Below are 22,541 nucleotides of genomic sequence, written 5' to 3'. Positions count from 1 at the left end.
GCATGCACCACCATGCCTGGCTAATTTTTGTATTTTTTTTTCAGTAAAGACGGGGTTTCTCCATGTTGGTGAGGCTGGTCTCGAACTCCCGACCTCAGGTGATCTGCTCGTCTCAGCCTGCCATAGTGCCAGGATTACAGGCATGAGCCACCACGCCTGGCCAATTTTATTATTACTATCATTAGAGACAGAGTCTCGCTTTGTTGCACAGTCTAGAGTGCAGTGGCTTGATGACAGATCACTGCAGCTTCAAACTTCTCAGCTCAAGTGATCCTCCCACCTCAGCCTCCTGAGTAGCTGGAACTACAGGTGTGCACCACCACACTTGGATAATTAAAAAATTTTTTTTGTAGATATGAGGTCTTGCTATATTGCCCAGACTGGTCTTGAACTTCTGACTTCAAGCAATTCTCCCACCTTGACCTCCAAAAGTGCTAGGATTACAGGTGTGACCCACCATGCCTGGCCTATAATTTCATTTTTAACATTCACAATAAAAAAAAGATACCATTCAGCCTTTTAAATACTCATATAGATTGGTACATATCTTCATTATTTCTATTTCAAAACTATAATGGTTTTATCTATTTGAATCATTGAAGGTTTTTTTTTTTTCACAATGGACAAGATTTCTTTATATAATTGTTTCCATGAGGGCATGCTTGACAGAAGGTCAGACTAAATTAATGTTCATATACTAGCTGTTGTACAACATAAAAAAGGAGACTTTTCTTTTAAACCATAGAAAGTGCCTAATCTCTCTGCTATCACAATTCCAAAAGTTGTGAAGTTGTGTATAATATAAATTTCTAAATTTTTACTTCCTATCTTTGAAAGTATTCGATCAAGGTTATATACAACCATCTCATAAAGTTGGCTAATGTTTTTGAAAAATTCATGTTATATCGGAACCCATATCAATTAACTATTCAATAATTTCCTCCATAATTTCAAATTCTTTACTAATTTTCAATTCCTGAAATTGAAAAAACAATGCAAAGCTTCTTTTACTCAAAGTACAGCAAAACTCATAAATTATGTTGTTCAGCTCCAGAGCTATGCCTGAAACTTAAGTAACAGGACAACAGATCTTTAGAATACTTTAAAGGAAATATATTAATAAAAAATATTACACTAGAATAACGATCTTAAAAATAAATATGATCCTTAATTATGTCATTCTTTTCTTTGAACTAGAAAGATCTTAAAGTCGTCTTTAATCAGCTATGTCCTAGGATTTGTCTAGGAAGCAAGGGCAGTATAAAACTTGAATCTTAAAAAATGTACAGAATTAGATTAAAAATTATCTCTTCTTTTCTCTTGCTTCTATTCATACTAAAAATAGCCTCTATATGTCACATCTATTTATACTGAAAATAGCCTCTATCCATATGTCTTGGACATAATTTTACTCCAATCAACATATTGAGTTTTGTGTGTGAAATCAAGTATTTTTGAAACAGTTTTTCTCTAGAATAAGAAATTACCATTTATAAAGTTATTTTTATATTACTCACACTAATAATGTAATATTAATCACTTTACATTCATTACCTAATTAACCTACTTTGAGAAGCCCATTTTATAGATGGAGTAATTTAGACTTGGAGAGATGAAGCCCAAGTAAAGACCACATAGTTACTAATGGAGGAACTAATTCAAACCTAGGCTGACTCTGTAAACCTAAAATGTACTATGATTCAAAAGGTATGGATTCAAAACTTTATTCCAGACAAAGTAAATTATAATCTTCTACAGTTGTGCCCCCAAAATTTGTAATTTGAAGCTGGTGGTTTGAGAAGCAATGCACCATAACCATGCTATTCTGCTTCTCCGGCATTGCTGATTTTGATGAACTGCTTTTTATTTCCACAAACCAGTTATTTACTGAAGCCTCCCATGAGATAGTGCATGGTAGACGGTATGGTGGAGAATTTAAGCAAAAAGAAGTAGAAAATATGCCTCCTGCCTTTGAGAAGCTTACAATCTAAAAATATACTATCCCAAATATCGAGAGACTATAACGTGACTGGGCATTTTTATTAGGGATGACTTTGTGGAAGCAGAGTATTTCAATTAGGGTTTTGATGGAAGGGAGAACAGAAATTGACAGAGAAGTAAGAGACTAACCAGGGTACAAAAATTTGGCAGTGAAAATAAGACTTGTGGAATAATTTAATAACCCTTCTTTATTTCAAAAAAATATTTAAAATACTTCAATTCTTTCTCAAACATGCACAGAATTACTAACCTTCTACATTCATGGCTTCCCTCAGAACCTGAAGTTTCTTTTGTCTCTCTCGGATTCGGTCCAAAGCACTTGATATTGCTGAGGAGGTGGGCAATTCTCGAGTGTGATATATTGGATCCATTTTCTGAGGGCCAAAGATATCCAAGGCTATACTTCCATCTGAGTATCTTGCCTCCTTTTTTCTAGGAGTAGTTGAAGTCCGCACTGTTACTGCCTCAGGGTGACAACGACGATATGTGGCAGTCTCTCCTGAAGAGAAGTCTCTGTCAGCTGTACAAAGCAAGTCCATGGATGAAGCCCAGATCTTCTTCTTAGAAAGCACATCAATGCCAGGGATGGGTTTTTTTTCTGGGCCACTAGTTTTGAACTGGTAAGGGGAGAATGTATTTTCAGAATCTTCACGTCCAGAATTATCTGATAAAATGTCCTTGAAATAATTCTCATCTTGTGTATCTTTGATGGACAGAAATCCCATAGATTTACTAAGCCCTTTGTTAAGAAAGGTCTGATGAGAGAGTGGAGGCTTTTGTATGTCTAGTACATCAGAAGTAGAGCTTCTTCCTGGAATGATAAGAATCTATCATGTATGCACACAATTTTTAGAAAATAAATGGAAATGTAATCCACTATTGACAATGAAAGTGGTGGCAATTTCCTAAATGCTCCAAATGGAAGATCAGAGGTGAAATGGGATGGTGATGATGGTCATAGTGGAAGAGGAAAGAGATACTATGTTTGCATAACTTTTCATAGTTCATCGTCTCTTATCTAATAAAAGCAATATACTGAACTGACATTTTTGAGTGGTATTATTTTATATTCATCAAATGTGAATTATTTGGTTTTAAAAAAGCAGACAACTATCCAGTTTGGAAGAATATTCACTATCCAAGAAATGATTTGGGGCAGTAATGGAATGTATAGTGAACTACTTTAACTTCTAAAGGTATAACTCAAATGTATGTCATATCACTATAAAGCCCTAGTATATTTCGATCTTTTAAATACATACATTTAAGGAAGAAACAAAGAATTCTTGCTATATTCTGGATGGAAATAGGATTGTAGCATTTCGAATTCTTAAGTATCAAGATTTTATTATAATTAGACATGTTTTCAGAAAACTTTGTGTTTGAAATCCAAATAATTTTGACTGTGTTTAAGTTATGAAAGAAACTTACTGTTTCCATGGCAGACCCTCATGCACTAAAAAAGTTTTTTCCTCTAGAACATAATTTACCATTATTTGCCAATTGTAATAAAGTACCAACTCTTATTCTTTAGTCCTTGATATAGTTAAAAATCAGTAGTCATTTTACTTTTTTTTAAAAGGCAGTAGTCTATAAATGTGACACACACCAAAAATGTCCATCCAGAAATTAATTTTGTGAATCCATAGATTCAACAAAAAAGCATATATATGGCCACTACTGAAAAAAGAAATACGGGTAAATATTTTATAGTCACTAACTCAATAGCCCATAAACACTGAAGATTTCATGTGCTACCTTCTGTGATCGCTGTGATATCTATCTGCTATACAATATAAAATAATGACTAAAACCTTAATAATAATAAATTGCTTGTTAATTTATTTAAAGACATCAATTGCCTCTTTAGTGTAACAACTATAAGCTTTAATTCCCTGAACACAAATTTTACCTTAAAAAATCTTTAAAAAGGGAATTCATTTCAGAATGGCAGCAAATAATTGCTTAAGGATAAGATTAAAACATTGTGCTTTTATTGTGCCTCATCTTCCCATGAATCTACTCAAGTGTAAATAAGGATAACATCTATATTTTGGGCACATCAGATAAAGAACACCAAGAAATATACCATACCACATCCAGACACAGATTGTCACAGACTCCAGCTTCTAACCTAAGATAATTTGAAAACTGATAAACATATGTCTGTGTTACAGTATTTTAGGGATGTTATATTCTTAAACAAACCACATTTGGAACTCATTAATTTAAAATTTTATTGAATAGAGAACAGAGATATTCTTGAAAATTGATAGAACACAATAGATTTAAAAAAAGAATGGAAAGGATTCAAGGATCATAAACCACACATAGATGAACTTAACCATCTGCCTTATCCTGCTACCTTGACTACCAAACAAGCAGTTAAAACTTGGAAAAACATCAAACAAGTGGGTATTTGGCAACACCATAAATTCATAGTCAATCACTTTGTACACGCAACACCACATGTTAACAGTGTGCTTACTTTCCACAATGACTGTTTCACTTTTCCTCATTCTCCACATTTTCTAACTTAACTCCCTATTCTTTTGGCTGATGGTGTTGTCATAACTCCAGGAAAACCGGAGCTGTTGGAGGAGAGCTTTCTCATCTTTCCATGAGTAATTCTATACTACCTATGTCTACTTTTTTTTTTTGGAGGGGGGATAGAGTCTCGCTCCGTCTCCCAGGCTCGAGTGCAGTGGCGCCATCTTGGCTCACTGCAAGCTCCGCCTCCCAGGTTCACGCCATTCTCCCGCCTCAGCCTCCCGAGTAGTTGGGACCACAGGCGCCCACCACCACGCTAATTTTGTTTTTGTATTTTTAGTAGAGAAGGGGTTTCACCATGTTAGCCAGGATGGTCTTGATCTCCTGACCTCGTGATCTGCCCACCTCAGCCTCCCAAAGTGCTGGGATTACAGGTGTGAGCCACTGTGCCAGGCTATGTCTACTCTTTTCTTTGCCATCTTAAACGATGAAATTTCCTGCCAGTTGAAGGCCAATCCCCAATATGTATTCTGGATTCCCCCCTCATAATTTTACTTTATCAAAGACTTTACTTCTTTCGTTAATTCTCTGTTGCTATCTCCTCATATTTTCAATATTCTTCCTTTCTGTTGAATATTCCCATTAGTATGTGAACATAAGCTAGTATCTCCCATAGTCAAACCAAACCAAACTCTTCCTCTGTTAACCACATTTCCCCCTAGCTACTGCTATCTCCCATTTCTTACTTCCCATTCATTATTGTACCCACTTTAATCAGCCTCCAACTACTCTATACATTAGCAACTCTCATTAGTTATGACCAATGATCTCTGCTTGCCAAATCAGATGGACATTTTGGTATACATATTTTACTTCTCAGTAAAAGCTGGTTATGATGACCATCCTTTACTCAATCTTTCCTCTCTTTACATACCTGCTTTCCTCCTACCTGTCAGACTGCTCATTCTTAGTCTTTGGTTTTTCTTCCTTTATGAGATATCCAAATGTTGGATTTCCTTAGGTGTCAGTTTTAGAATTTCATCTACTCACTTTGTATTTATATAACTTCTTCCATTAACAAGGCAGTAATATCATCTATACCTTGACAACTCCCAATTGATATGCTTAGCACCGACCTCTTCTGGGAGTTCCAATCATATGTAATGAAACTTCTACTTATATTTCAGAAGACCCTCAAATGCAACATGCTCAAAACTGATCTTTTGCTTCGTACATCCAGAACTGTCCATTCTCCCCCAGTCTTTCCTATTACAATAAGTGGCCCAATTACTCAACTGATTGTTCAAAACAGAAATATGGGCACCATCCTTAAATCTTTTACCTTATTTAATCCCCATATCAAATCCAACAGTAAATGATGGCTATTTAAATTCTCAAAGACATCTTATTATTTCATGTATTCTAATTCCACTGCCATCACCCTATTTCCAATTAACATTATTGCTTGACTAGATCACTGCAATGGCCCTAAGCATTTTCCTTCTGGAGAATGCATAGCTTGCTAAAAGTTAAATGGCAAACAATAAATATACTTTATTTACAAATAAAAGATTTCATATTTGTATTCCTTGGGTAAGATTTCAAGAATATAAAAAGTCTTTGTAATAGAACACATCCCATTTATTTTAGTTAAATTTTAGAAAAAACTTCCTTGTAAATTACATTGTGTTTTAACTATTTTTGTTATATGTGATTAACATTATCCTACACTGGATATCATCATTTACCTTTCAATTCACCCAGACTCAAAAATTCACATCTCTTAGAAGTAAACTTCGAAATGGCATTTCAATATTAAAAGAGGCTCCCCAAGTCCCCATGTATCCTCACAAATGTGTCCAAGTGCGTTTCAAAAGAAAGAAACATGATATTACTAATATGCGTAAGTTCTAAAGCACCACCATGTTGATCTGAATAATAGTGTAAGTTTCCACCTTAAGCTTGGCAGGAAATGTTTGATTTCTTTCTGCTCAGTGAAGCTATTTAATCAGCACTGGCAGTATTAGGTAACAAAGTAGGGTCAGAGAGCCCACTAGTTTAGGCTTTAGCTTCTGTGACAGATCTTGGAGGTAAGATATAAGAAGAGACCTTTTAAGGTCATTTACTTATAGATAAAAATCTTTATTACATTTGAGCTGAACAATTAAATCACTAGGTATAAGGCATTATCCCCAAATTTGCATACATCTTTCCATCTAATTCTGTATCTCCCTGTCCATCTTAACATTTTCTTTATTAAAGACTACTCCTGTAGTCAGGAGCCTAATAAACTAATGCTATCACCACATACAGATTTTAGGTTGGTGCACACTGAAGAAAATGTTTTATTAATAATGTATCACAAGGTTGCTTTGCTGCAATTGACCACTGACAGTTAAGAACTGGCACTGCCAAGTGTCCTAGGTGTCTTAGAAGAATTACTTCTTCAAGAGATAATTTTTTTTTCAATCTTAAACTTTTAAAATTAGTCTATGCAGTTGACTATTAGCTGCTGAATGCTTCTGCCTGGTAATGGCTATAATTAGTATATTTATATTGGTTCTGTCCTTAAAATGAGGTTTTATGAATTTGTAAAAGGTAAATGAAAAGAGCACTTGTGCAATACTACTGTGCAAAGCACTGATGGTTAAGAAGGTCTAAAGAATACTCTCCCCTTATACTTGATCCAAATAAGACTATTATTTCAGTATTAGGACCTTTAACTCTACTAAAAAAAATAGAAACACAAACAAAATTTGGTTAATCCTGAGTGACTAATTGTAATTACTCACAAATTCTCTTGAGTTTAGATACAAGGGAGATTTTATTCTCCAATATGACTATTAGAGGATAAAATCAACAAACAATCTACTTAAGGATTTGATTTCTCTGTTAATTTTGTAAAGTCATGACAGTCAACGCTTCCTTATCTGTATTAGAACAGCATATTAATAATAAGAATTCTAAGGAACTATTAGACAATAATACTAAATCTTTCTTAGTATTATAAAAACAAAATCACAAATAAAAGGCATTAAAATCTGGATTAAAATTTCTGATGTTTTTATTGTTATAATAAGAAAATGGTCCAATAATATGAGGCAAGATGTTTTATTTTTCTTTTGCATACAACTTAATGTTTAACATAGGCTAAATAAATAAACCATAGTCTCACATATTTCTTTATGGAGCTATTAAAGAAGTATACTACAAATATATTACACTTCAAAATCCAGTATTTCCATAAAACCTTTTCTCGTTCAGTCAACAAATATACACTGAACACCTATAAAAACTAATGAACTTAATATAGGTTTTCCCTATCCCCAGCATCTATATGTCCAGAAAGCTTAACTTTTATGAATGTCCTTTATGAAACAAATATACGTATATATGTAAATGACAAATAACCTATTAAAAATATGTTATCAAGTAGGTATAGACTCAGTATAATCTCTTAATTGCTATCTTTAAAATAATATGTAACAATTAATTTCTGAAACATTAAGCCTCTGAACCATTGAAAGTAATAAAATCTAAATTATGTTAGCATTTGATAATCCTTACAATTTGATAAATATTGCAAGGCTCACCTTTTTCTTTCTACAGACCCACACTGGAAAGGGAGATAGGATGGAAGTCATATATACATAAATAAATCATATGTGAATATTTTTTATTCTTAGAAAAATACACTGTCTGCAAAAATTAATAATACAACATTACAGTTACTAAATCAAGAAGTAACACATAAGCAAATAAACTTCAACTACATAACATGGCCACTTAATGGTAGTAGGAAATGATAGTAGGGAACTGCTGAAAGAGGTTAGAGAAAGAATAACAAAGAGAAATAAGAAAGGAGGGAGGGAGAGAGGAAAGGAAAGAGGGAGGTGGAGAGAGCAAAGAAAGAGAGGGAGAAAATAGAAAAAGATAAGTAAGAAAAACAAAAATGTCTTTTAAATCTAATGTTCTACTTATTAAAATGTTCACTATGTCTCCCAAAAGATTATTTCAGCTTGCTATTGATATTCATCTATAAGTTTGTTATTATTCGATTCTAAAATAGGAGACTGACTGCAAATTTGATCAATTAACAAATTGCTGCTATTATTAGTGCTAAAGTTTACACTATATACTATCTCAAATCCTAGAATAGTATAAAAATAAACATATTTTTACCTACAAAAAGAAAGTGACAAAAGTACAGTATGGGGACATAAGTATAGGAAGGAAATATTTGCAAGAAAGGATGAAAAATACTTTCAAAATTGTTACCACACTGTTATTTTTTTGGCCCATATATAAACTAATCATATATGCATTAGAAAAAAACTCTGATCTAACCAGAAATAAATTACTATACCAATGAAATGAAAGCTAAAATATCTTTTCAGATAGTCTTTATTCACAATAATTAAAATGGAAGCACCAAAACAGATACTTAACTGTACCATTACAAAATCACTCCCTTAGAAACAATTTTACTGCTTTTCTTTAACTTACACATTCCTTCCTCTCAGATATGAGAGTTCTGACTCTGTAAAACATTTGGTCCAGATAGTCAAGGTCTACATTTATTTTTCACAATTAGAGTTGCTCATAGGTTTTAAGTAAGACAGGTTTCTCTGATGCTCTGATTAAATTAAAATCTTAACTTTTTAATCTATTTTATTAAGCTATATCAATTAGAATATATTTTGTTAGAATATATTTAAGCAATCTGTACATTTACTTCTACCTAGCCCCAAGATCTAGGACAAGATCTAAAAAAGTATTTCTGTTAATGTTTAGATTATCATGATTCTCAAAACTGCTTGATAAGAAGAGAACAAAGATAATCAACAAAATCAAAAGTTTATTTTATAAATAAGCCATGCCTGAAAGTAGCAATGAAAAATAAATTGTCACATAAAATTATATTTACTTTTATTTCAAGTGTTTGAAATTTCCATTCTTTTTTTTTTTTTTTTTTTTTTTTTGAGACAGAAGTTCACTCTTTGTTGCCCAGGCTGGAGCACAGTGGTGTGATCTCGGCTAACTGCAACCTCTGCCTCCCCGGTTCAAGATTCTCCTGTCTCAGCCTCCCGAGTAGCTGGGATTACAGGTGCCTGCCACCATGCCCGGCTAATTTTTGTATTTTTAGAGAGATGGGATTTCACTATGTTGGCCAGGCTGGTCTCGAACTCCTGACCTCAGGTGATCCGCCCACCTCAGCCTCCCAAAGCACTGGGATTACAGGCGTGAGCCACCACGCCTGGCCTGAAATTTCCATTCATTTCTTTCAAAAAAATAAATTTAATACTTATCATAGGATACAGAATTATATAATGCTATTGACAAATAGCAAAATCACTACTCATCATTAGTTTTTATTTACTAAGTATCACATGACCTAAGGTAGTATTTGATAACTCCATGATAAAATCTATTTAGTGAGTTATTACTAGCATTTAAAAAAAAAAAGAAATATGATAAAAAATATCAGAGTGCAGTAAGAAAAACGTTTTCTGAAACTTTTGTTTCAGTAGTGTTTATGTTCATAAACATATACATGTGTTTATTTAGTCATGCTTTAAAAAGTATTTTTAATATGAAATACCACGATAAAGTAAATAAATATTATTATTATTGATATACCAATACTGGAAAGGGAAATAAGTTACTCTGGGAATCCTAAGTATATTAATAATGTTTTCTGTATAAGTTTAATGAAATTATTTTTAATGTAGCTAGTGTTCCTGCCCATTCCCTACCTCCAGTTTGTACGTTTACGTTCTAATCATAGTCTCAATTACCAGATTTCAAAGCCAGGTAAGTATAATTTTGTAAAGAAAACAATGGGATAAGGTTAAAGCCTAGACATTTCCTATTAATATACTCTTACCTGTTGGTAATCCTTTTCCTCGCAATCGATCTCGAATAGCCTGGCTTCGATCAGGCTTTTGTTCACTGTTACAGGAAAGCTGATCTGTCTGTACACAGGTAATAAAAAATCAAGTTTGACAAAAGGATCTCCCTTTTGTTTTCATGGTAACTGTTTACAGAATGACACTAGTTACACAGTTTTTGGAGGATGTAACATTAAATAATGAGACTCTATGTCCTATTGTATTTGTAGGGTAATTTGTATTCTTGGATAAGATTTATGTAGACCAGTGCTGGCCAATTCATTTCAGAAAATTAAAAGGGAAGAAGCAGTGACTGAAGAGTAACCTACTAACTAGAAAATACCATCAGATTAAACTTGTTAAAATGAGTTCTATTTGAAAACAGTAAACTTGAAGTCTTCTTTTTTCCCCAACCACTAACTACTCTTAAGTTAGTTTATAATTTAAAAACCACATTAATTTTGGTATAATAAAGCTTTCTCTTGATTATAACTATGAATTGAGGAATTTAAATTACTTTCAGAAATAATTTTATAGATCTTGCCCTTCAGAAATTACATTTGTGAAATGCTAAGTCTTTTTTTTTTTTTTTTTTTTTTAAATATAACGGAGTCTCACTCTGTCACCCAGGTTGGAGGACCTCGGTTCACTGCAACCTCTGCCTCCCAGGTTCAAGCGATTCTCATGCCTTAGCCTCCAGAGTAGCTGGGACTACTGGTGCATACCACCACACCAGCTAATTTTTGTATTTTAAGTAGAGACAGGGTTTCACCATGTTGGCCAGGCTGGTCTTGAACTCCTGACATCAAGTGATCTGCCTGCCTTGGCCTCCCAAAGTGCTGGGATTACAGGCGTGATCCACTATGCCTGGCCGAGAAATGCTAAGTCTTTAAATGGACGCTCTGAGGGATAACAAATTTAAATCAATGCTCTTTTAAGTTCCCTTTAAAACAAAATGTAATCTTAAAGTTTAATAGCTTTAGCAAAGGGTATCTGCTTGAAATAAAGTATGTCAAATTAGGTCAAACTCCACACTATAAGGGATAAAAAACTGGACAGACCACTGTTTTATTCAGGTGGCCAAATAGAGGAGAAATGTCAATATAAATGGAAGAAGAGAGAATGGTGAAGAGAAATTACTTAAATCTAGCACCAAAAGCATGCATACATATTTGTTTACACACACACAAACTCGCACATACCACAGAAATGTTTTAATATTGCTCCATTAGTGAATTTTGCTGAAGTATGGATTAAAAACCCATCTAAGGTGGTATATTCAAGGCTCAAGCATTATGTTTTCTACCTATAAGAAGACTTGTAAATGGAAGTATTTCTGAAATCATGTTATCAGTTAAGTTGCATAAATGATGTTAGTCCAGATTACACTGTACTGTCAGTGACTGAAAAGACAGTATTACTAACATCCCACATCTTTGAAAATTCCTGCATTGAAGTTAGTTACTATTAATAACTGTTGTTTATTGAACAGTTACTATATGCTAGGCACACACTTTGTGCTATTTAATCCTCAAACAACCTCATATGGTAGACAATATTATCCTCATATTATAAATAAAGGGAGAAATAGCAAAGAAACTTCTAAGGACCACAAAGCAGCTCATTAATGTGGAAATAACTACTTTTACAACAGTTTAATAATATGGATGATTGACACATATTATTATTATTCCTATTTTGCAGATAAGTAAAATTGTGGTCCAAATATTATAACATTAAATCAGTGGAAAAACCTAGACAAGTAAGCTGGCTTGCTGACTTTTACTCACGCTAATTAATGTTAAGTAAGAATGATGGTCACTCAGAATGAATTTCACACCAGTGAAAGACTAACTCATTCTGTCAGCTACTGGAGGCAACAAAAGCTTTAAGGAATATACTGGGGTCAAAAACACCCCAGTTCCAATTATGTCTCCATCATTTACCGTATCTGTGACTATGTGCAAGTTATTTAATCTTTCTTAGCCTTAGTTTTATGCCCTCTAAAATGAGGATAAAAGTATCTCTATTAAATTGAGGTTGTTATGATGAATAATGTGATAATGCACATCAACCCCTTAGCATAGTGTCTGGCACAAAGTAAACAAACACTTAAAAAACAGTAGCTGTTGGAGTTACTTCTACCCAGTGATGTCTAGGAGATGAGGAAGAGCAATAGAAAGGTAAGGGGAGCATTATTATACTTAGTAAAAATTTGTCTTTGTGAAGAGAGGCTCTCTACATGCTGATTCCAACTGATCCTTCTATTTTTCTCTCCCATTAAATAACCCCACAATACACCCCATGTCATACTGTTCCCCAAACATTCCTGCTTTCCCATTTCACAGCCTTTATCCAGGTTCACTTCCCTCTGCCGAGATTATCTAGCCTATAGGATACAGTTCGAAGTGCTATTTTTAATTTTAACTTTTTTTTTTTTTTTTGAGGTAGGGCCTTACTCTGTTGCCTAGGTTGGACTGCAGTGGTGCAATCATGCCTCACTACAGCCTCGACCTCCCAGGCTCAAGTAGTCCTCCCATCTCAGCCTCCTGAGTAGCTGGGACTAAAGGCATGCATCACCATGCTCAGCTTCAAAGTGCTATTTTTCAATGCAGTCATAATTTGTATCCTTTTCCTTTAAACTCTCATAGCTGTTAAAATTTTTACTATGTATCATTTTATAGCCTTCTTTCATTTTATAATTAAGCAAATGGTTATGGCATTTTAGATAAGAGCTCCTAGATCAAATATTTTATTCAAATTTGTATCTTCTATAATCCCTAGCACAGGTTTCATACATAAATGAACAATAAAGATCCACTATAATAAAGAGAACTAAATGCTAAACCTTAAAGGGATGAAGATTTTATATGTAATATGGGCAATTATTAGATAGGTAATATAATTTCTATGGTGACAGAAAAAAAATTCTTCATTCAAAGACAGAAAAAAATATCTCTCACAATTTTACTATAGGAGTAAAATTAGCAAGCAGCACAAAAGTCTTAGAGAAAGTGTGGTGTAATAAAAAAGTCCCTGGACTGTCTAATAGGAAACTCAAATCCCATAGTTGTTTGGGTATCAGTTTCCTTATCCATAAAGTGAAGTTTTAAAGAATATTAGTCTTATGAGAATGTCTGAAAAAAAGACCTCCAAGACCAAGAAAGTTTGGGAAATGCTTTATTTACATGCCTATTCTTCTTGAAGGTTAGTAATATAGTCTAGTATATTAAAGGTTCTAAGAAGTTCTCCAGTGAAAATACATTTAATTTCCTTTAAATAGTTTCTTCTCAAGCTTATTTGGTCATAGAGGAATTTTTAAAACAAAAATATTGAAAACAATATGAGAAACTTTGGTCTGGACAGATGGTTTTCAAAGATTTTTTAATAGCTTTACCTTTGTTCAAAAAAATCACACGCAGAAATATAAACAGATCAAATAAAACTGGAGCTGCTCTAGTTAAAGAGGGAAAATGGGCAACCAAGAACTCCATTTATTCGGCCTCTACTTCCTACATTTCCCTTCACTATAGAACCGCAAAGGTTTCTTGAGGGAGAGTTTACAAACCATTTGTCTAGAAGATCTGTGGGCCTGTTTGTTATCAACTGAAAAACTGTGCAGAATTTGAATACATTCCTGGCAGCCATCTGACATCCTGGTTAAGATGGGAACTAAACCCCTACCGATGAGGAATTCTGAGGAAGTCAACAAGAACACTGTGTGGCAGTGGTAAATTTGTAACCTGTGCAAGGAAGAGGGACCAACACTCCAGGACTACAACCCTAAGGATAAGAGCAGATAAAGTATAGATCCAGATCAGATAGGGCAAACAAGATAAAATACAGCCTTAGAAATGCAGAACAGAGGTGGGACTTTCAGGTAATATATAGCATTGGTTATTCTTGGGATTCTTCATATCCAAAACAAGAGAAAAACTAGAAGAGTCCAGGTCTTGGGGAAATCTGGCAGGGATACAAGCATGGATTCCCTGGATACACTAGGTAGCAGTGTTCCGAGAAGAAGGGAAAGTGGAGAAGGTTTGGGAAATACCTAGAAGATCCAGACAAATGAGTGGTCACGAAACAGGTATAAAGCAACAGAAAGTACATTTAAATATTTCTAAAACCCATTTTCATGTTAATACATTTTTTCTAGGTGTTCACAATAGAAGCATTTGCTAAAAGCTCCTTGGGAAAAGATCTAAGAAAGAAAACAAGAGGAGACACTTTCAGCTCAAACATGCTATCATTCTATGATATTTTTGGGAATAATTCTCACAAAATCTAGACTTATTGCAATGAGCTTCTAAATTTTAAGTATTGTTTCAAATAAACAATTTATATTAGAAGAAGAAATTCAATTTTCCATTTCTAGTCTTCATTGAGAAAATGCTACCTATATAGTATCCTTAAAGAAAATTTTGTGATATCTACTAAATTTTAAAATATGACTATATTTACTATTGTAACTGTAGCTTACCCCAGAAAGATTTCCCAGAACCAGTTTTACCAAGTGTTTCACGTAGGAAAATGAGGGTGCACAATTGCTATTCCTAATGTGGGCACTGCAAGCATCCAGCACAGTCCGAACAGAAACTCGAGCGTAAATAACATCCTCACACATTCCAAGCAGTATGCTGTTGAGATGATCTCCAAGCTTAATAGGCTGAATATAAATAAAGGAAAAGCCAGTGAGTAAATGTGAGCAAATATTTTTTCTAATGAGACAAATCATTCTAGGAATCACAGGAACCACACTAAAACACACTTCACATACTTGGAGGAAATAAATTCCTTTTTATCAGCATAAGCATTTTACTGTGTTTTACCTTTTTTAAAAATATATTAGCAGAAGATAGTTAACTTATACTTCCCTAGAAAGGAAGTACAGAAAAACTCTGGGCATTTTTAAATATAAAGTAAAGTAGTGAAATTCTTGGCTTATTCAAATGTTTTGATAAACAGTTACTACATGTACACACGCACACACAAACATACACACCATTTGGGGGAATAAACTGTTTCCTAATATTATATAAAATGTAATACATTCAATGTGTATAAATATAATTAGATACTCCCATGATAACTTAAAGAAGATTTAAAATATTGCAATGCTTCAAGACCATTTAAATATAAATTATCATTATGTTGGTCAAACAGACAAGCCAGAATGTGAGGGTTTTTTTTTTATTAGTTAACGTATTTTGTAGAATATTATATCTGAATGGCCAAAGAGCATATGAAAGGGTGGCCAATGTCATTATTCACTAAGAAATATAAATTAAAACCACTACAAGAAGAAGCCACTACACACCCAATAAAATAGTGAAAAATAAAAATACTAACAATACAAGAATTGGTAAGGAGTGGAGCAATTAAAACTCACATCCAAGCTGACGGGAGTTTAAACTGGTATATCCACTTTGGTCTAAACAAATGCCTTTCCTATGACTCTTCCACTTCTTATCCATTTGGGTATTATTAATATATCATCCTTTAGGTGTTAGCTTAGATGCAATGTCCTTTAAGAAATCTGTCCTGACCCTCCAAGCCTAACCAGAAGTCCCAACTCTGTTTTCCATAGCATCCTCTATTTTCCCTAACATAGCATTTATTGCATTATGTTGCAGTTGGCCGTTTAGCTGTCTGTTCCTTCCAAAAAACTCCATAGGCAAGCGTCACTATAGTCCTAGTGTCTAACAGTATCTGACACAAGGTAGGTACTTAATAAATACTTTTAAATTAATATTAAATATTTCCAAAATATCCTGATTTCTGATCCTAAAATACAAGTTTATATTTCCCCTCTAATTTATATTTATTGATATTGACTCTCTATTTATATTTGATATTGACTTTATTTCCAGTTATCAGAAAAGAACATAAAGTGTTATAGACTGTGATCACATTTTACAAGTTAGGTTGCATAATATATGACACCAATATTTCCAGTAATATTTTAACTTTCTCATTTATATTTACAGAATTGAAACTGAAGAGAAAAAGAAAATATACATTATTTTTCATGATATAAAATAAAACCAAACAAAGTGAAGAATATTATTTATCTTTTATGGATCTTAAGATGTTTGTATTTTAGAATAAAAGGCTAAAATGCTTGTTACTTCCTTTTATTTAATAAGAAAAAACCACACCTAGTTATTTTTGGTTTTGACTTATAAATGCCTAAAATAAAACCTAATTCTATATGTTATATCTTGCCTTGATGAAATATAGCTATTTTTAAATTTTCAATTACTATTTACTACTATGTTTATATTGGTCATTAAGAATCAGAATTATTTTAGAAAATAATGACTAGAAGCAGCCCAATGGCAAACAGGGCCCAAGACCTCAGCAAGTGTTACTTTAATACCTGTGTCTGCTGTTACAGGGGTCGTGAAGTATGATGTACGATTTGAAGTGCCAAGAGAAAAAGCTATGACATTCTCTAATACAACACTCTGAGACATAGGGCTACTATTCCTAGAGTTTTTGCATCAAAAAAGCTATTACATTCAGTAGAATGAATCATCAAAGACAAGAGATTTTCAATCCCTCTTAACAGTCACTACATTAGATAAAATAAAGTACACGCTCATTTATCTTGCTATAATTTTTGAAGAGGCCAGGTCCATCTCACAGACTGAGTTGTTGAAACCTGGGTAGTGATTGCTACAATTCTAGGAATACCTTAAAAATAGTGTCTTTAGTACTTTACTGAAAGTTCATCCTGAAAGTATGACATTATTAATGTAAACAAACTCCATAGGAATGTTGGTACACCTGACAGCATGCTGTAGAACACGTATAAACGTGTGGAAGAGCTATGATATAAGGTGTAAAATTGAACATATGTAAAAAGTATAACAACTGTAAAAACTTAACTTACTTGGCTCTGAGGCACTTCATAATCAGCCCCCCAATACAGTGTCATTCCAAGAGAATAAATGTGGATCTAGGAATAGAATTTTTAAGAAATAATTTTATGATAAAATACAATAGAAAATTAAGCAAGTGCTATAAAAACAGATTATTTTGTTCCAAAGAAAATATAATACACAATTTGAGAAAATCATCATTTTATATTTTCCATAAAAGTATATGAGAGCTTAAAAGAGATAGCAAGACTGGAAATTATTACAACAGATGTTTTCCTAATTCCCCAGCCCATCCTTTATGCATAATCAGTTTTGTTAGCTTTTAAAGTTCCTGATGCAAATTCAAGCAAATACGAATATATATTCTTATTTCCTCCTTTCATAAAAGGTCAGAAACCTTAAAAATTACTAGGCACCTTGCTTTTTTTTTTTGAGGCAGAGTCTGGCTCTGTCGCCCAGGCTGGAGTGCAGTGGCACAATCTCGGCTCACTGCAACCTCCATCCCCCGGCAATTCTCCTGGCTCAGCCTCCCCAGTAGCTGGGGTTAGAGGTGCCTGCCACCATGCCTGACTAATTTTTCTATTTTAAGTAGAGATGGGGTTTTGCCATGTTGGCCAGGCTCGTCTTGAATTCCTGACCTCAGGTAATCTGTCCGCCTTAGCCTCCCAAAGTGCTGGGATTATAGGCGTGACCCACTGCGCCTGGCAGGCACCTTGCATTTTTAACTTATCAATAGGTATTTCCATATCAATGCTTAGAGATCTTATTTTTTTAAATGGTATATAGAATTCCATTAGTGGTTAAAGCACTGTTTATTTAACCAATCTGTTATTAATAGAGAATTAAAATTTTTTTCAAACCTTTGCTACTACAAATGATGTTTCAGCAAACAGCCTTGTAAGTATTTCTCTTAAATGGATTTTCTGAGATAATGGATGAGAAAGTAAATCATCTGCAGTTTTTATATATATTGTCAGATTCCCTTGCATAACAGTTGTACCATTTTGTATTTCTACCAGAAGTACATGTAAGAGTTTTTCCACATGTTTTTGTACATGTAAGAGTTTTTCACAAACCTTTTCCATAGAGGTATTACAAAGACTTGGCGTTTTGCCAATCTAAAAATTGACCAATAAATCTCACTGCATCACTGCCGTTTTTGTTTTGTTTGTTTTTTGATAGGATCTCTCTCTGTTGCCCAGGCTGCAGTGAGGTGGTGCAATCATAGCTCACTGTTGCTTCAAACTCCTGGATCACTCAAGTGATCCTCCTGTCTCAGCTTCTCAAATAGCTGGGACTAAAGGCATGTAAAACCACTCCTGGCTAACTTTTAAAATTTTTGTAGAGATGGGATCTCACTATATTGTCAAGGCTGTTCTCGAACTCCTGACCTCAAGAGATCCTCCCGCCTTGGCTTCCCGGTGTGCTGGGATTATAGGCGAGAACCACCTCACTTGGCCTCACTGCAGTTTTTTGTTTTTTGTTTTTCCTCACTGCAGTTTTGATTTGCATTTTCTCACAATGAATGGGTAGCGTAGTACAAGGAGAAGGAAGCTGAATCAAAGGACTTCTCTTTAGGTTGTTTGCTTTGTTTGTTTCTTAAAGATTAAAAAAACTCAACATATTTTTATGCTGACAGAAATGATTCAACAGGGAAAACTGGAAATGCAGGAGAGAATGGAGATTGCTAGAGGAACATTGTTGAGTAGATAAGGAGATTGAAGCTAAAGCACAAATGGAGGAGTTGGATTTATAGAAGAGCATGGACAGTTCATCTGTAGTAAGATGGCAGAGCATATGGGAATTCACACGGGGAGGCTGCTAGAGATATATTAGAGAAAGTCCTGATTGCTTCTATTTTTTTCTGTGACACAAAAAGCAAGATCTCAGTTATAAGTAATCATCTTTCCTATTTCCTTCTGTCGAGATTCAGAGCTCATCTTCTGGGCCACTTCTATCAATACTGAATTCTTGCCATGTGCTTTTGTTGTTGTTGTTTCGTTTTGCAGCATCCTTACTACAGCTTCATCTTATTTTCTTGTCTTTATTTACTCGGCTCCTATTTTTTCACCTTTATTTTTCAATTCTATAAACTGTATCAAATCCTCTTTAGAAATTAGTCAGATATATGTAATAAAAGTGGGTACCCTTCTTACAGTCTCACAACACTTTAATATATCCCTTACATTGCTTCCTAAATTATTTTTAAATTACAGATTAGAAAAGTTGTTCCACTTTTCAAATATGTTCATGGCTCTCAATTTTTAAACATTCAAATTTTAAAATAATGACATTTAGGGCTCACTGTGACCTTCCTCTATTTCCATTTTGCAAGCAGATTTTTAAGTTTTCTTCTGTCATCGCTCCTTCCCTTATCACAACCTAAACACTAGGCACATCTAGATAATTTTCTGTTGGCAAAATACATCCTTTTCTTTCTCAGCTTTTCGTGAGCTGTTCTTTCCACCAAAAATATTGTCTCTGGCCATTACTGATAGGCCAGTGATGATGTTCCCCCTTATATATGCTGTATAAATACTTCCAAACAGGTTAAAGCATTATCTCATATATGATACAGTTATATTTCTGCACCACACTTTGATGACGTAGTTAACTATTACCTTGTTGTATAGTTAGATGAGTCCTTGTTTGTCCTCCTTGAGGGAAACAGCTTTTTTTTTTTTTTAACATATCTTAGTATCCCTCTTAGCAAGTAACACAGAACTTTACATAGCAGATATTCAATACATGTCTGTTGAATTAAATTAAATGTGCAAGAAGTTCAAGACAGCCTAGTGCAGACTATTTGTATCATATTTCTCTTTAAGCTTCTTTCCAAATAGTCTTAAGTGTAAATACCTTTTCAAAGAACCTCATATATGAAAAACATTTTTCATAGTTTTAGCATAAAGGACTAATTGCATGCTCAATTATATTAATTTTGGTTTATGATTCTTTGAGATATGGCCCATGCTTTAAGATTCTTTATTATACTTACTTCTCAATATGCCAAGTGAGTTACTATATGTTAATAATTTTTATACATGACTATAATAAAACATTCTTAAAACTAGGTTATAAAATTGTACATTTGCTGATCACCTATATATATCATATAATAGTTAGTTGTATGTGTCAACTTGATTGGACCAAAGGATGCCCAGATATTTGGTCAAATCTCATTCTGGGTGTTTCTGTGAAAGTGTTTTTGGGTGAGATTAACATTTACATCAGTAGACTGAGTAAAGCAGACTGCCCTCCCTATCATGGGTGGGCCCTTTCCAGTCAGTTGAAGGCCTGAAAAGAACAGAAAGGTCAACTCTCCTCTGAGTAAGAGAATTCTTTCTACTTAACTGCCTTAGAACTGGAACATCAGTGTTTTCCTCCTTTGGACTCAAACTGAAACCTTCTTGGGTCTTAAGCCTGCCAGTCTTTGAACTAGAACTACACCAGCAATTCTACTGTTTCTCTGACCTTCGGACTCAGACTTGAACTACATCATTGGCTCTCCTGAATCTCCAGTTTGCAAACTCATCCTGAGGATCTTGGAGCTTGTGAGCCTTCATAATTGCACGAGCCAACCCTTTATAATAAACCTCTCTATACATACAAATACACACACACACACACACACACGCACACACCCTATTGGTTCTGTTTCTCTGCAGAACCTTGACTAATACATATAAGTATGAAATATCTCTATAGAGAAATAAAATATGCAAAATGACAATTGCTACTTTATTAGGACAGTACTTTATATGGGTTCCACACTTTTAGTAATATTTTAAATCATAATTAAAAATACATTGTTGAGCTGTTAGACAACTCCAGGTATGTCAGATCTTTGTTAAAATAACATGGTAATACAACCTGGTACCTAATATTAGAAAAATATTTCTTACAGAATACAAAGAAAAATGCTTTTACATTTATTCCAAACAGTCAGTACAGGGTAAGTGCATGATGCTTCCATACACTTTATTCATAAATTAAAAGCGTTTGTACTGTTGGTGCAGCCTGAAAAGACACAGGGATAAAGATCACTGATACAAAGATGTAACTAAATTAATATAGCAGCACTGACATCACTGACAGTGCTTAGTTCATCTGGTTAATAAATAGCAGCAATAGATGGGTTACAGACTGCATATATATATTGTGTAGAAAGGAGGAAGGTCACGCACAGGAAGGATTATTCAAAAACAGGCAAGTATTTGATCTACATATTTTCCTTTGTGTTTTACGTAATGAGAAAAAAGAGGAATCCACAATCCAGGATTATTAAATCTTTTATTAAAGATATCAACAAGTCCAAGGCGAAAAAAGAATCAGGCAGTACAAGTTAAAAAAAAAAAAAAGTTTTGATCTGCTTCTCACTTGTATTGCTTATTTATTTAGCCTCCCAGGGAATTTGTGGTTTTATGACCTTTGTTGGTCCATCCGTACCTTACGGACAGCACAGAGATGCTCTATTTCCCTTCCTTAGTATAGTAGTATAGCAGGCCAGGACACAGTCCTATAGAGGTAGGTGCCTTTGATAGTGATGATTCATATATACAGGATTCAATGAAAAGATGGAAGAGCTGATTCTAGATGACATGCATGTATAGAAGAGCTAGACAACTACCCATTTAGTCAACATTTTTTCTGAAAGTCACTAAACTAGGGAGTGTGATAAGATACAAATATTTCATCCTGGTATCTATAACACTACTATCATAAGCTAATAGATATTATTATATGTATTAGAATATAAATAGCTAGCATGTACATAATGCTTACTGTGTGCCAAACTTACATTATATACATTGTAGAACAATTTCTTCCTTTTTTCTTTCCTTTTTTTTTCTTTTTTTTGAGACAGACTCACTCTGTCGCCCAGGCTGGAGTGCAGTGGTGCAATCTCAGCTCACTGCAACCTTCGCCTCCTGGGTTCAAGCAATTCTCCCTGCCTCAGCCTCTTGAGTAGCTGGGATTACAGGCACCTGCCACCATGCCCAGCTAATGTTTCTATTTTTAGTAGAGACGGGGTTTCGCCATGTTGGCCAGGCTGGTCTTGAACTCCTGACCTCAGGTGATCTGCCTGCCTTGGTCTCCCAAAGTGCTGGAATTACAGGTGTGAGCCACCACGCCCGGCCTACATTATATACATTAGCTCATTCAATCTTACAGAGGGAAGGTAACTTGCCCAAGATCACACAGCTATTTAACTGACAGAGGCAAGATTCTAACTTTGGCTTCAGTTTCTTACCCTCAGCACTACTGACATTCG

The 22,541-nt window shown here is 34.2% G+C and overlaps 1 protein-coding gene across 24 annotated transcripts in view; it reads right to left on the bottom strand.

The window, feature by feature from the left end:
- Nucleotides 1-22,541, bottom strand: part of PTPN13 (protein tyrosine phosphatase non-receptor type 13) — a 220,847-nt gene that overhangs the window by 111,109 nt on the left and 87,197 nt on the right. For 13 of the 24 annotated variants that reach the window (XM_011532165.3, NM_080685.3, XM_017008511.3 and 10 more), the window contains 4 exons: nucleotides 17,278-17,343; nucleotides 14,863-15,048; nucleotides 10,379-10,466; nucleotides 2,252-2,812 (listed from right to left, as the gene is read on the bottom strand). In XM_011532165.3, coding sequence (XP_011530467.1) covers nucleotides 2,252-2,812; nucleotides 10,379-10,466; nucleotides 14,863-15,048; nucleotides 17,278-17,343 — 901 coding nt within the window. The remainder of the gene's footprint in view (nucleotides 1-2,251; nucleotides 2,813-10,378; nucleotides 10,467-14,862; nucleotides 15,049-17,277; nucleotides 17,344-22,541) is intronic. The other 11 variants (XM_017008515.3, XM_047416039.1, XM_047416037.1 and 8 more) reach the window with 1 other exon arrangement.

The sequence above is a fragment of the Homo sapiens genome, chromosome 4 (genome assembly GCF_000001405.40).
Source record: "Homo sapiens chromosome 4, GRCh38.p14 Primary Assembly".
In the NCBI taxonomy this organism is placed as follows: domain Eukaryota; kingdom Metazoa; phylum Chordata; class Mammalia; order Primates; family Hominidae; genus Homo; species Homo sapiens.
This window is presented reverse-complemented; position numbering and strand designations above follow the sequence as displayed.